Raw genomic sequence first — 12,962 nt, 5'->3', positions numbered from 1 at the left:
TGGGGAGAAGGAGAAGGGAGCAGTGACACCATGAAGCTGGGCCATCTAGCACAGTAGCCACTGGCCACACATGGTTATTTAAAGTTAAATGTGGCTGGGCGTGCTGGCTTATGCCTGTAATTCCAGCACTTTAGGAGGCCGAGGCGGGTGGATCACCTGAGGTCAGGAGTTCGAGACCAGCCTGGCCAACATGGTGAAACCTCGCCTCTACTAAAAATACAACAATTTGCTGGGCAAGGCCCGGCGCGGTGGCTCACACCTGTAATCCCAGCACTTTGGGAGGCCGAGGCGGGTGGATCACCTGAGGTCCGGAGTTTGAGACCAGCCTGACCAACATGGAGAAACCCTGTCACTACTAAAAATACAAAATTAGCTGGGGGTGGTGGCGCATGCCTGTAATCCCAGCTACTCGGGAGGCTGAGGCAGGAGCATCGCTTGAACCTGGGAGGCGGAGATTGCAGTGAGCCGAGATCGTGCCATTGCACTCCAGCCTGGGCAACAGGAGTGAAACTCTATCTCAAAATAAATAAATAAATAAATTAGCTGGGCATGATGGCAGTTGCCAGTAATCCCAGCTACTTTGGGAGGCTGAAGCAGAAGAATCGCTTGAACCCGGGAGGTGGAGGTTGCAGTGAGGTGAGAACAAGCCACTGCACTCCAGCCTCCAGCCTGGGTGACAGAGCCAGACTCTGTTCCAAAAAAAAAAAAGTTAAATGTAATTAATATTTGATAAAATATAAAGTTCAGCTTCTCAGTCTCACTAGCCACATTCCAAGCACACAACAGTGACAGTGACATATGGCTAGCGGCTACCGTACAGGACCAGGCGGATGTAGACCTTGTCCATCGTCACAGAACGTTCCCTTGGACAGCGCTGCTGCTGTAAAGGGTGAGATGGGTCCGTGGTCACCATGTAAGCAGGTGGTCTCCTATTCCTTCACCACAACAGTTAATCCTGCGACTGGGAGGCTAATTTGGGTCTCTCCCCAAAGGGACCCCGGTCTGATGAAGTGAGAAAATGGCTTTCTAATTAGGACAGGCCAGGCAGTTTGGAAAGTGTGACGTGGCCAGGAGGGAACAGGAAAGCAGAGTCAGCTTTGTGGTCCGCTAGCGTTTCAGGAAATATGAGTGGTGGCGTGGGGGGAACGGGGTGTCAGGTCAGGGGCAGGTCATGGTAGAAGCTGGGATTCGGAATCCGGACAGACCCGGCTTGAATACAGGTCCACTCACTGGCAGTGCAATCTCAGGCAGGTTCACTGACATCTACAGTTTGTCTGTAAAACGGGCTTGGTAGTTTCTGGGTGTTCTCAGCAGGGTTCTTGGTAGGAAACCATGTAAATGAACTTGGCCAACTGAAAGCAGGAAAGGTGAGTTGAGAATCTAAGGGTGGCCTGTGAGGGACTATCTGCACCCCGTCACCCTCTTCTGCTTCAGTGCCAAGTGTCATGAACACCATAATATAGAGTTATTGGGACTGGGTGCAGTGGTTCATGCCTGTAAGCCCAGCATTTTAGGAGGCTGAGGTGGGAGGGTTGCTTAAGGCCAGAGTTCAAGACCAGTCCGGGCAGCATAGTGAAACCCCATCTCTACAAAAAATACATATAAAAAATTAGCTGGGTTTGGTGGTTCATGCCTGTAATCCCAACATTTTGGGAGGCTGAGGTAGGAGGATCACTGGAGCCCAGGAGCTTAAGGCCAGCCTAGACAACACAGCAAGACCCCATCTCTTAAAAAAAAAAAAAAAAAAGTTTAAAAATGAGCTGGGGGCAGTGGTGCCTGCCTGTAATCCTAGCGATTTTGGAGGCTGAAACAGAAGGATTGCTTAAGGCCAGGAGTTGAAGACCAGCCTAGGCAACAGAGCGAGACCCCATGTTTACACACAAAAAAATTAAAAAATTAGCCAGGCATAGTGGTACATGCCTGTAGTCCTAGCTATTTGGGAGGCTGAGGTGGGAGGATCACTTAAGCCCAGGAATTTGAGGCTGCAGTGATTCATGATCATGCCATTGCACTCCAGCCTGGGTGACAGAGTGAGACTCTGTCTCTAAAAATAAATAAGAGAGATATTGGCAGAATTCTATGAGACGTGTAGATAGAAGCACCAGGCATAAAATATGTGCTCAATTAGTATTGGCTTCTCTTAGGGAAGCTCTCGTTCCCAAGAGCAGGTGTCTCAAGTAGGGCACTGCTGACATTTAGGAGCTGATATTTCTGTGTTGTCAGGGGCTGTCCTGCACATTAGAGGATGTTTAGCAGTATCCCAGGCCTCTACCCCCTAGATGCCAGTAGCACAACCCCTGTCAGTTGTCATTTTGTAACAAACAAAATGCCAAGTGACTGCCAAATATCCCCTGGGTGGACAAAAATCACGACTGGTTGAGAAGTACAGCTCTGGAGGAAACTTAAGCAGTGCCTTTTGCTGGAGCAGACACTTCAGGGAAGTCCGGCTGTTGCCTGTCCCCTGGTGATCACCTAGTGACTGGGTGACCACCTCATGCTGCCCTGGGTCACCTGGCCACAGGCATGAGCAGCTGGCCCCACTGTGCCCACGGAGACCTGGCTCTGAGGTAGCGTGCCTGGATTTGACCCTGGGCGTCTGCTCCCTGGTTGCATCTCCTGTGCTCACAGCACGGTGGATGGTTTTCAGAGCCTTTGGCCATGTGTGGTTCTGGATTCTGGGCCACTGCAGCTGGCACAATACAACCAGGAATGGCTCCAATCATAATGGGATGGCTGGGGCCCCACAGACGACAGAGAGCTGTGCTGGCTGGGAGGCTTGTCAGCTGCTTCTCTCCCTTGCAGGGCTGAGGACAGGGCTTGGGGAGGGCACGGCATGAGTGGGCACTGGCTCCAGTTTCTGGCTGCTTCCAGGAAGAAGTACAGCCACGGGGGGTCACAGCAAAGTGATGGTCTTGCAAGGGCCAGGAATGGGGGGCTGCAGTGTATTGGGGAGCAGTGCGTGGACAGTACCAGAGACCGATGATCGGACCAGAGGGTCCTCCCTGTGCTGCCTGCAGGTACCCACAGGCTGCCCCATGGGAGCTGTCCCTCTGAGTGAGACAGAGGGAAAGTCCCCGGGGCATCTTGCCTCTCCTGTTCCCGCCTGTCTTTGGAGAGGGCTTCATGCTGATGTTCTGGTTGGGGGTGCCCCTGAAGAGCCCCTCCCCAGGATGTGCCTTGAACTGGTTACCCCAACTCTCATTTGTTCCTCAGGCCTGATTCTGGGCCTCTCCAGAGGCAGTCGGGACTCCTTGAGACATGACACGCAAGCAGGCACGCTGGGGTCCCCTCCTGCTGCTGTTCAGGGGATGGCAGGCCCAGAGCCTCCAGGGATGAGTCCAGACCTCCTTTCCTGTGGCCTCCCTCTCCTCCCCTTTAATGTTCCTCCCCTCTTCTCTCCTGGCAGAGCAAGAGGCGCAGCTCTGGGAGGCCCTCTACTCGCTCCCTCCCCACTCACCTGGGTGTTGTCGCAGCCTGGGCGTCCTGTCCTCACTCGCACTGACTCCCCAGGCCTCAGACACTCCACCTCCTCTGTGTTTTGGAATTCGGCTTCTTGTCCCATCCCAACACCCCCCTCTGGGTCACCTCCCAGCATCAGCCCTCTCCTGGTGTGCCAAAACCTTTGGAGTCCTTCCACCTCTCCTGGAACCATGAAACCCTCCCACGGCTCCTTCCTCTTCCCAGAGTGGGGTCTCAGCTGCTGACCACGGCATTCAAAGCCTCCCTATCCAGCCTCTTCTCGGCCACAGCCGATAATTAGCCAGGCATGATGGTATATGCCTGTAGTCCCAGCTACTTGGGAGGCTGAGGTGGGTCCCTCCCGACCCCGGGGAGGGTAAACAGGGCTTCTTCTAGCCGGCCGACTCCTGCTGAGCCCTGGAGGCCCAGCGTAAAGGGCATCCCCTCCGGAAAATATTGCATGTTCTACCAAAGGCCGTCGGGGCTTCCTCTGAACTGCGGGGACTCGCCACTGTGTGGGGGTCCGGGGCGCAGTAGCTGGAGAGGACGCAGGCGAGGATCCTGGGAAGGGAATAACGGAGAGAGCCAAGGGGAGTGAGCGCGGCGGCTTCAAACCGCCGCCAGTTTCCGCTGCACCCCAGAGCGACCAAAAGGGTCCCAGCAGGGCAGAGGCGGGGCTACCTGGAGGGGGCGGGGCCACCAAAAGGGGCCAGGGCGGGGCTGCGGGCCGGGACGGCTCGGGAGGGGCCGCGCGCGCTCGCAGGGCAGAGGTGCGTGGAGTCGCGGCGCGCTCGCTCCATTCCTGGGCTCGGCTACCCCCTGCCCTTCGGCACCTGCCGCGCCGCGGTCCCCGGCTCCAGATGGGGAAGGACCAGGGCTTCTCTCGGCACTTTCGGTAGCTTCCCCATCGCGTCCCGCGCCTCCGGGAACCGTGCGCCCTCTGCGCCACGGATCCGCCTCGGGCTGGTCTGAAAGCGGGTGGGGCTGGAGCGTGGAGGGGCTTCCCTGCCCTGGGTGGGCACCCTCCGAGCCTGGGCGGAGCCCGAGGCCCAGGGAGGTTGGAAATAAACTCGGTGGGTACCGGGGCGGCGAGGTCTAAGCGTTGGGCGCTCAGAACCCGTGCGTGGCCCTAAAGAGTCGGTGTTGGGATAAAAGGCTGGGATTGAAAGCCCACTTTCCTTCCTACAATTGGGCTGGTCGAGGGGACAGGACAGAGGGCCGAGACTGAGGTTGGGTGCTCTTGTGAAAATCGGGGGCATCTCGTCCTGAGTTTGGGGGGCACGACCTCTCCACTGCCGTGCTCCCTATACTGAACCAGGGAACCCTTGTCCCCTTGCCACCATTTCGCTGGCTGATGATCAAAGGTGAGATAAAGAAAGCTGGGTGGGGGGCCAGGCGCGGTGGCTCACGCCTGTAATCCCAGCACTTTGGGAGGGCGAGGGGGGTGGGGGGTGCGGATCTTCTGAGGTCAGGAGTTCGAGACCAGCCTGACCAACATGGTGAAACCCCGTCTCTACTAAAAATTTAAAAAGCCAGCCAGGTGTGGTGGTGCATGCCTGTAGCCCCAGATACTCGAGAGGCTGAGGCAGGAGAATCGCTTGAACCTGGGAGGCGGAGGTTGCAGTGAGCCAAGAGTGTACCCCTGCACTCCATCCTGGGCGACAGAGAGTCTCTCTCAAACAAACAAACAAACAACAACAAAAAAGGCCAGGCGCGGTGGCTCACTCCTGTAATCCCAGCACTTTGGGAGGCCGAGGCGGGCGGATCATGAGGTCAGGAAATTGAGACCGTTCTGGCTAAAACGGTGAAACCCTGTCTCAACTAAAAATACAAAAAATTAGCCGGGTGTGAAGGCATGCGCCTGTAGTCCCAGCTACTCGGGAGGCTGAGGCAGGAGAATGGCATGAATCCTGGAGGCGGAGCTTGCAGTGAGCGGAGATCGCACCACTGCACTCCAGCCTGTGTGACAGAGCGAGACTTTGTCTTAAAAAAAAAAAAAAAGAGAGAGAGAGAGAGAGAGAAAGCTGGGTGGGGAGAGAGGACCCTAGGAGGGGGCGGGGTAGGAACTTGGGGTTGGATTTAGACCTGACTCTGGCAGAGAGAACAGAACTGACCCGGTGTGCAAGGTCATTGTGTGGCCCCCAGGAAGAGTCCTGTGGCCTGAGAGAGGCCTGTTGGCATAGCAGGGACTCCAGAGTCCAGAGACAGTGATTGCTGGACTGCCACTCAGGGGGGATAGTGACTGGTGGTAATAGTCACTGTGGCCCCACTGCTCCTGGCTCTGCTGGGTCAGTCGATTTAGGGCAGACCCAGGGCTGGGGACTCTGGGCCAGACTGAGCTGCATGGAGGGCCAGCAGGAGCCAGGTTGGATGTCTGGCTCACCAGGCAGCCTTGGCCTCTGTCTCAGCCCCAAAAACACCAAGTAAGGAAAGGGCTGCCCAACCTTCTTCCATCTGTGCAGTTGGTGACAGCCTGGTTCCCACCTGGGGGACAGGGCCTTTTCTTTTTTTTGAGATGGAGTCTCACTCTTTTGCCCAGGCTGGAGTGCAGTGGTACAATCTCGGCTCACTGCAACCTCTGTCTCCCCGGTTCAAGCAATTCTCGTGCCTCAGCCTCCTGAGTAGCTGGGATTACAGGAGTGCACTACCATGCCCGGCTAAGTTTTGTATTTTTAGTAGAGATGGGGTTTCACCACTTTGGCCAGGCTGGTCTCGAACTCCTGACCTCAGGTAATCTGCCTGCCTCGGCCTCCTAAAGTGCTAGGATTACAGGCTTGAGCCACCGCGCCCGGACGACAGGGCCTTTTCTAGTTGCTGCTGGAAGGTAGAGCTGTGATGTCCTCTTGACCCCTGCCCAGGTTGGACTCAAGGGTTGGGTGCATGGGGTGATGTCTTCAGAGTCTGTGGCTGGAGCCGGAAGTGAGGTGGACAGTCTCAGGTGTGTGTGTCTTCTCTCCTTTGCCTGGACATGAGGCTTGAGGTCTGGGAGGCGCTAGGGAATGTGCAGGCCTGGCAGATGGAGCGGTCAGGCTCTGGAGACCTTAAATGACCATCTGGGGGATGAGGCTGTGTTTCCGGATTTGCAGGAAGCATTGCAGGTGGATGGGAATGGGCACCGGGCAGAGGTGAGCAGGACATTCATCCTGGTTCCTGGTTACCCCCCGGACCATCGAGACCTGGAGCGGAGCTCACTGCGGGGACAGAGCCTCCTCCCTGAGAATCCACACCCACTTCCTCCCACCAGGCAATTTCTTTTGCCTGGCGGGCCTAATTACTCCTACCCACAGAGGTGGAGGGAAGTGTGAGGGCCGCTGGGACACCTCAGAGGGGTTTGTCTTTCAGCTGCAAGGCCACTGATCCCTTCTCCCTTCTCCCCCTCATCTTGCCCTTGGCCCTGGCACCTGGTACAAGGAACAGGGAAGGGGGCCTTGGGATGCAGCCAGGGAGACCTCACAGGCAACCAGACCTTCAGGGGCTCTTGTTAGAGGTCCTGCCACAGTGCTGAGCGCTGAAGTCTGTTCTCTGATGCCAGCTGTGCCACAGGCCAGCTGTGTAACCGTGGAGAGCTACAGGTCCTCTCTGTGCCTCAGAATCCTCTGCCACAGACCGGAGAGTCCATCAGGATGTTAACTGCTGCCATTACTCAGAGATGGGGTTAGGCTGCTGGTGGATCTCCTGTTGACTGAGTCTCTCCTATGTGCTGAGCCCTGGCTAGTCACTGTGGCTCAGGATTGAACTATAGACATAACCCCCGGAAAGCTTCCAAGGCTGGGTGTTGTAGCTCACGCCTGTAATCCCAGCACTTCGAGAAGTGGAGGTGGGAGTATCACTTGAGCCAAGGAGTTTGAGACCAGCCTGGGCAACATAGAGCCTCATCTCTACAAAAAAAATTAAAAAGAAAAAAAAATGCCGGGCACAGTGGCTCACGTCTAATCCCAGGACTTTGGGAGGCCGAGGCGGGCAGATCACCTGAGGTCAGGAGTTCAAGACCAGCCTGGCCAACATGGTGAAACCCCATCTCTACTAAAAATACAAAAATTAGCCGTCGTGGTGGCATGCATCTGTAATCCCAGCTACTCGGGAGGCTGAGGCAGAAGAATTGCTTGAACTGGGGAGGTGGAGGTTCCAATGAGCTGAGATCTCACCATTGTACTCCAGCCTGGGCGACAGAGCAAGACTCTGTCTGAAAAAAAAAAAAAAAATTAGCCTGGTGGCATGTGCCTGTAGTCCTAGCTACAAGGGAGGCTGAGGCAGGAGGATCCCTTGAGACCAGGAGTTCCAGGTTACAATGAGCTATGATCGTGCTATGATCGTGCCACTGTACTGTAGTCTGGGAGACAGAGCAAGACCCTCTCTCAAGAGAACGAGAGAGACAGAGAAAGAGAGAGAGTTTCTAGCCCTGCAGCGGAGACCCACGGGCCTTCCCCCTGCCTCTCACTTCCAAGGTAACTACTTTGAGAGCAGGAGCCACAGTCCCTTTAGCTTTGAACGCCAGTTCCTGGCTGGCACAGATAGCAGGGGCTCCCTGAATACATGTAGGATTAAGTTGAAAGGAGGCCAGTGTTGGGTACGGAGCCTCATTTAGCTAAGGAAGCAAAGGAGTGGACCTGGGCAAGAGCCTGGGCAAGAGCTTAGAGATAGGACTGAAGGTGGCAGAAACGGGGTTCCTGCCAGATATCTGAGTGGGCAGCTGCAGATGGGCCTGGACAGAGAAGCAAGCAGGAAGACTGGAGGCGTGGTGAGGGGCTCGTGGGTTCCAGTTTCCTCCAGCAGAGCCATCTAGAGACGAGGTGGGAGACAGTGGGTGGTGGGGATCCCTGGCTCAGGGCTTGGCCTGGCGGGTGCAGAGGGAGTGGGGGGAGAGGACAGAGGCAGGAGGAGGAACGGGTCCGTGGACTGGCTTTGAGGGGCTCGGGCCCTGCAGTGGCCAGAGTCATGGAGGACGGTCCGAACGGGCCATTCCCGAGGTGAAGCGAGCAGGACGCCAAGTCCTAGCTGGGGGCGCAAATCCGAGCAGCGAGGGGGAGACTGGGGTGCTACCGGCTGCTCATCCCGATCCCCCCAGCCCTCCGCCACTCCTAGGAAGAGGTGGGAGAGCCTAGGGCGGCGCCCGCGAGGACGCGCCTTCGGGCCGCGGTTTGCAGAGATCCGGGGTCCGGGAACGCGCCCCGACTCCGCCGTCCTCGCCGGCAGGATCTTCATCCCCAAGAAGCACCGGGCGCGCTTCGACGAGGTGGTGTCTCAGGGCCTCCTGGGCAAGCTGTGCCGCGCACGCCGGGCCCAGGGCGCGCAGCGACTGCGCCGGAGCCGCAGCGAGGAGCGGCCGGAGCGCCTCCTGGTGTCCACGCGCGCCAGCGCCCCGCCGCGCCGCCCCGATGAGCCGCCCCCGCGCAGGGCCTCCTTGCTGGTGGGCGGCCTCGCCGGCCCCGGGGGCGCGCGCAGGTACGCGGGGCTCACAGGCACTGGCAGCGGGCGCCTCCCTGCGGGTGGGCTCGGGACCGAGACCCGGGGAGAGGGCGTAGGGGCGGGGCTGGGCATCTGGGGTGCATAGGGGGCCGGAGAGGTTAAGGGGAGAGGGACACGGGACATCTCCAACCTCTGCGCCCCAGGGCCCCCTCTCCATCATGCTGCTCGCCCCTTCTTTTTCCCCCAGGACTGTCCGAGTCTACAAAGGCAACAAGAGCTTCGGCTTCACACTTCGCGGCCACGGGCCTGTCTGGATCGAGTCTGTCCTGCCTGGTGAGGGGTGGGCCGGTTGCCCTAAGAGTCCCTAAGGCCCAGGATGGGGTGAAGGGCCCCGTGGTGGCTCTGCCGGGTCATTGTACCCCATGTAGGCTCCTGCTCAGCAACCCCTCCACGTCAGGTACCATCCTTGTGTAGACCGTGTCCCCAGAGTGTCCCAGAGCCAGCAGATCTGAATCCCATTCCTACCTAAGATGCTTGAGGCCAGAGCCTTCTGCCTGAGTTGGGGCACCCCACCCCTGCCCCTCTAAATTCAGCATCCCCCCAAGCCAAGGGAACCAGGTTCTGCATCCAGACCTTTCCTGTGTCCACAGGGAGGGCCGGGGCACTGTCTAGGACTCTGGGGCAGCCAGGACTGAGCTGCTGCCTACCCAGGCTGTGCCCCCAGCAACACGAGCTTCATGGAGTGCCCACGCTGAACTGGGTTCTTGCCTGGCAGGCCAGACTCAGACAGCCAAAAGGGCCTCAGGGCCTCTGCCTGCTGTCTAACACCTGCTGAATATGGACTTCGCTCTCCTCCCACCCTGCTTGCTCCTTCTTGTTCCTGAAATCATGGCATCTTTTTATTTATTTTATTTTATTTTAATGAGATAGTGTCTCGCTCTGTCACCCAGGCTGGAGTGCAGTGGTGCAATCTTGGCTCATTGCAACCTCCATCTCCGAGGCTCAAGTGTAGCTGAGCCTCCAGAGCCTCCTCAGCCTCCAGAGTAGCTGGGACCACAGGCGCACGCCACCATGCCTAGCTAATTTTTTGTATTTCTGGTAGAGCTGGGGTTTTGCCATATTGCCTAGGTTGGTCTTGAACTCCTGAGCTCAAGTAATCCTCCCGCCTTGGCCTCCCAAAGCGCTGGGAGTACAGGCGTGAGCCATCACACCTGGCCTATTTTTAAAATTTTATTTAATTTAATTTTTTGAGACAGAGTTTTGCTCTTGTTGACCAGGCTGGAGTGCAATGGCATGATCTCAGCCCACTGCAGCCTCTGCCTCCCAGGTGCAAGCGATTCTCCTGCCTCAGCCTCCTGAGTAGCTGAGATTACAGGCGCCTGCCACCACACCCAGCTAATTTTTTTATATTTTTAGTAGAGATGGGGCTTCGTCATGTTGGCCAGGCTGGTCTTGAACTCCTGGCCTCGGGTGATCCACCCGTCTTGGCCTCCTAAAGTTCTGGAATTACAGGCAAGAGCACCACACTCGGCCTATTTTATTTTATTTTAAGAGATGAGGTTGGCCGGGGCAGCATTTTAGGAGGCCAAGGCAGGTGGATCACGAGGTCAGGAGATCGAGACCATCCTGGCTAACATGGTGAAACCCGTCTCTACTAAAAATACAGAAAAAAATTAGCCAGGTGTGGTGGCAGGTGCCTGTAGTCCCAGCTACTCGGGAGGCTGAGGCAGGAGAATGGCGTGAGCCCGGGAGGCGGAGCTTGCAGTGAGCTGAGATCATGCCATTGCACTCCAGCCTGGGCGACAGAGTGAGACTCCATCTCAAAAAAAACAAACGAGAGATGAGGTCTCCCTCTGTCACCCAGGCTGGAGTGCAGTGGCATGATCATGGCCCACTGTAGCCTCCAACTCCTGGGCTTAAGGGATCCTCCTGCCTCAGCCTCCTAAATGTTGGGATTACAGGCGTGAGCCACCATGCCCAACCATGGCATCTTGAAGAAGGCAGAACCTCTGCAGTGCAAGAATCCCTTTCTTCCTGCCCCTCCAGTGGGGCAGGGGTGTGTGTGTGCACTCATATTCATTGTGGAAGGTGTTTGTAGGGCAGAAGTGTCTCCTAGAGCTGAATTGAATTCTCCCTCCCTGTAACCATCTGCTCAGAACTGGGTCACCTGCTCTGTCCTGCATCCGTCCCCTCCCAGCACCTAAGTGTAATGCTCCTGGTTACACATCTCCATTGGTGGCCATGCCAATGCATTCTTTCCACACTCTGTGTGTCATCACATCTCCAGTGTATGGATCTGTGAGCTGGGCATCGTCTGATCCTGTAGTCCCAGCCCGGGACTGATCCCATGCCTTTCCTGTCATAGGAAGCCAAATGGATGCTTAGATGGACGCTTTTACAAAGGGGGAAACTGAGGCCAGTAGTCCCAGCCCTGGAAGAGCACTTCAGTGTCAGTGCATCATCCTTACAGGCTTCAGGCTGTTCTGAGACTTAATCCTGAGAAGTGGCATGTTCAGGTTCTTCCCCGATTTGGGCATCACTAACTTGTTGACACCATATTGTAAGCAAAAGGCCCAAAGCTGCTCTCTGGAGAGCTTCCTCTAGAAGTGATTAATCTCTCCTCTGTGGATGTGGCTGTTCCAACCATGCCACCACCACCATCTCCATCTCCCAGTCTCTCCCACATGTGTAGCCAGAGATACCTGGCCTAGGGCCTTGTTAGAATCCAGGTGTGGCTGGGTGCAGTGGCTCACACTTGTAATCCCAGCACTTTGGGAGGCCGAGGCAGGAAGATCACTTGAGCCCAGGAGTTTGAGACCAGTCTGAGCAATAGTGAGGCACATGCCTGTAGTCCCAGCTACTCTGGAGGCTGGGGTGGGAGGATCACTTGAGCCCAGAAGTTCGAGGCTGTAGTGAGCTATGATCATGCCACTGCACTCCAGCCTGGGTGACAGAGCAAGACCCTGTCTCAAAAAAAGAAAAAAAAATCCAGGTCTGCTGTTCTTCCCAACCCAACCTTCAAGCCAGTGATCCCATGCCTTTCCTGTCATAGGAAGCCAAATGGATGCTTAGATGGAAGCTTTTACAGATGGGGAAACTGAGGCCTGGAGAGGCTCTGGTAAATTAAGGACCAGAAACTGGGATCTCCTGACTCCTGGCCCAGTGCTCTTTGATCCCCTGCGACAACCTCTCTAGCTGTCCCACCATTCCAGGCAGGCCAGATTGGATTCGCCACCACCATCACTCTCTCCTTTTTGGTCCAGGGAAAGGACTTCCCCCATCTCGCCTCTCCCGGGAAGTCTTCCCTAATTGTTCCCTCTCTTCTCTGGACAGTTTCCACTTCCCCCAGAGAGAACTTCTCGCAATCTGAGAGTATATTTTATTTAGCCATTGATCATTTTCCCTACTTTCCAAATTACATTTAGAATGATGACTCATAAAAGAGGCAGAAAGAGGACTACGTGGTGGCTCACACCTGTAATCCCAGCACTTTGGGAGACTGAGGCAGGAGGATCATTTGAGGCCAGGAGTTTGAGACCAGCCTGGGCAACATGGTGAAACTTCGTCTCTACAAAAAATACAAAAATTGGGTGGCCGGGCATGGTAGCTCATGTCTGTAATCCCAGCATTTTGGGAGGCCAAGGCGGGCGGATCACTTGAGCAGGAGTTCGAGACTAGCCTGGGCAATATGGCGAAACCTCATCTCTACTAAACACACGCTAACACACACACACACACACACACACACATATTAGCCAGGCATGGTGGCTGTAGTCCCACCTATTCAGGAGGCTGAGGTGGGAGAATAGCTTGAACCCAGGAGGCAGAGGTTGCAGTGAGCCGAGATCACACCACTGCACTCCAGCCTGGGTGATAGAGCGAGACTCCATCTCAAAAAAAAAAATTAGCCCGGAGTGGTGGTGCGTGCCTATGGTCCCAGCTACTCAGAGCCTGAGGTGGGAAGACTGCTTGAGCCTAGGAGGTTGAGGCTGCAGTGATCTGTGATCACACCTCTGCACTTCAGCAAGACCCTGTCTCTAAAATTAAAAAAAAAAAATACAGAAAATAATTCTCCTGAAGCAAAGAGGAATCCCAGA

General features: G+C 56.0%; 1 protein-coding gene across 4 annotated transcripts in view, besides 3 other annotated features; it reads left to right on the top strand.

Annotated features, from left to right (window-relative positions):
- Positions 1 to 12,962, top strand: part of GRID2IP (Grid2 interacting protein) — a 54,684-nt gene that overhangs the window by 16,040 nt on the left and 25,682 nt on the right. For 3 of the 4 annotated variants that reach the window (NM_001145118.2, NM_001388403.1, XM_047420365.1), the window contains 2 exons: positions 8,653 to 8,901; positions 9,113 to 9,198. In NM_001145118.2, coding sequence (NP_001138590.1) covers positions 8,653 to 8,901; positions 9,113 to 9,198 — 335 coding nt within the window. Of the gene's footprint in view, positions 1 to 4,208; positions 4,355 to 8,652; positions 8,902 to 9,112; positions 9,199 to 12,962 lie in introns of those variants that run through there. The other variant, NM_001394781.1, reaches the window with a different exon arrangement.
- Positions 4,072 to 4,471: a silencer, noted in NCBI's record as "silent region_17952". NCBI's record gives its function as "represses an Ori minimal core promoter by ATAC-STARR-seq in GM12878 lymphoblastoid cells {active_cell/tissue: GM12878}" and the evidence as "EXISTENCE:reporter gene assay evidence [ECO:0000049][PMID:35858748]".
- Positions 8,524 to 8,573: an enhancer, noted in NCBI's record as "active region_25630". NCBI's record gives its function as "activates an Ori minimal core promoter by ATAC-STARR-seq in GM12878 lymphoblastoid cells {active_cell/tissue: GM12878}" and the evidence as "EXISTENCE:reporter gene assay evidence [ECO:0000049][PMID:35858748]".
- Positions 8,754 to 8,923: a silencer, noted in NCBI's record as "silent region_17951". NCBI's record gives its function as "represses an Ori minimal core promoter by ATAC-STARR-seq in GM12878 lymphoblastoid cells {active_cell/tissue: GM12878}" and the evidence as "EXISTENCE:reporter gene assay evidence [ECO:0000049][PMID:35858748]".

This window comes from Homo sapiens, chromosome 7 (genome assembly GCF_000001405.40).
Source record: "Homo sapiens chromosome 7, GRCh38.p14 Primary Assembly".
Classification (NCBI taxonomy): Eukaryota; Metazoa; Chordata; class Mammalia; order Primates; family Hominidae; genus Homo; species Homo sapiens.
Note: the sequence above shows the minus strand (reverse complement) of the source record. Positions and strands in the feature narration are given on the sequence as shown.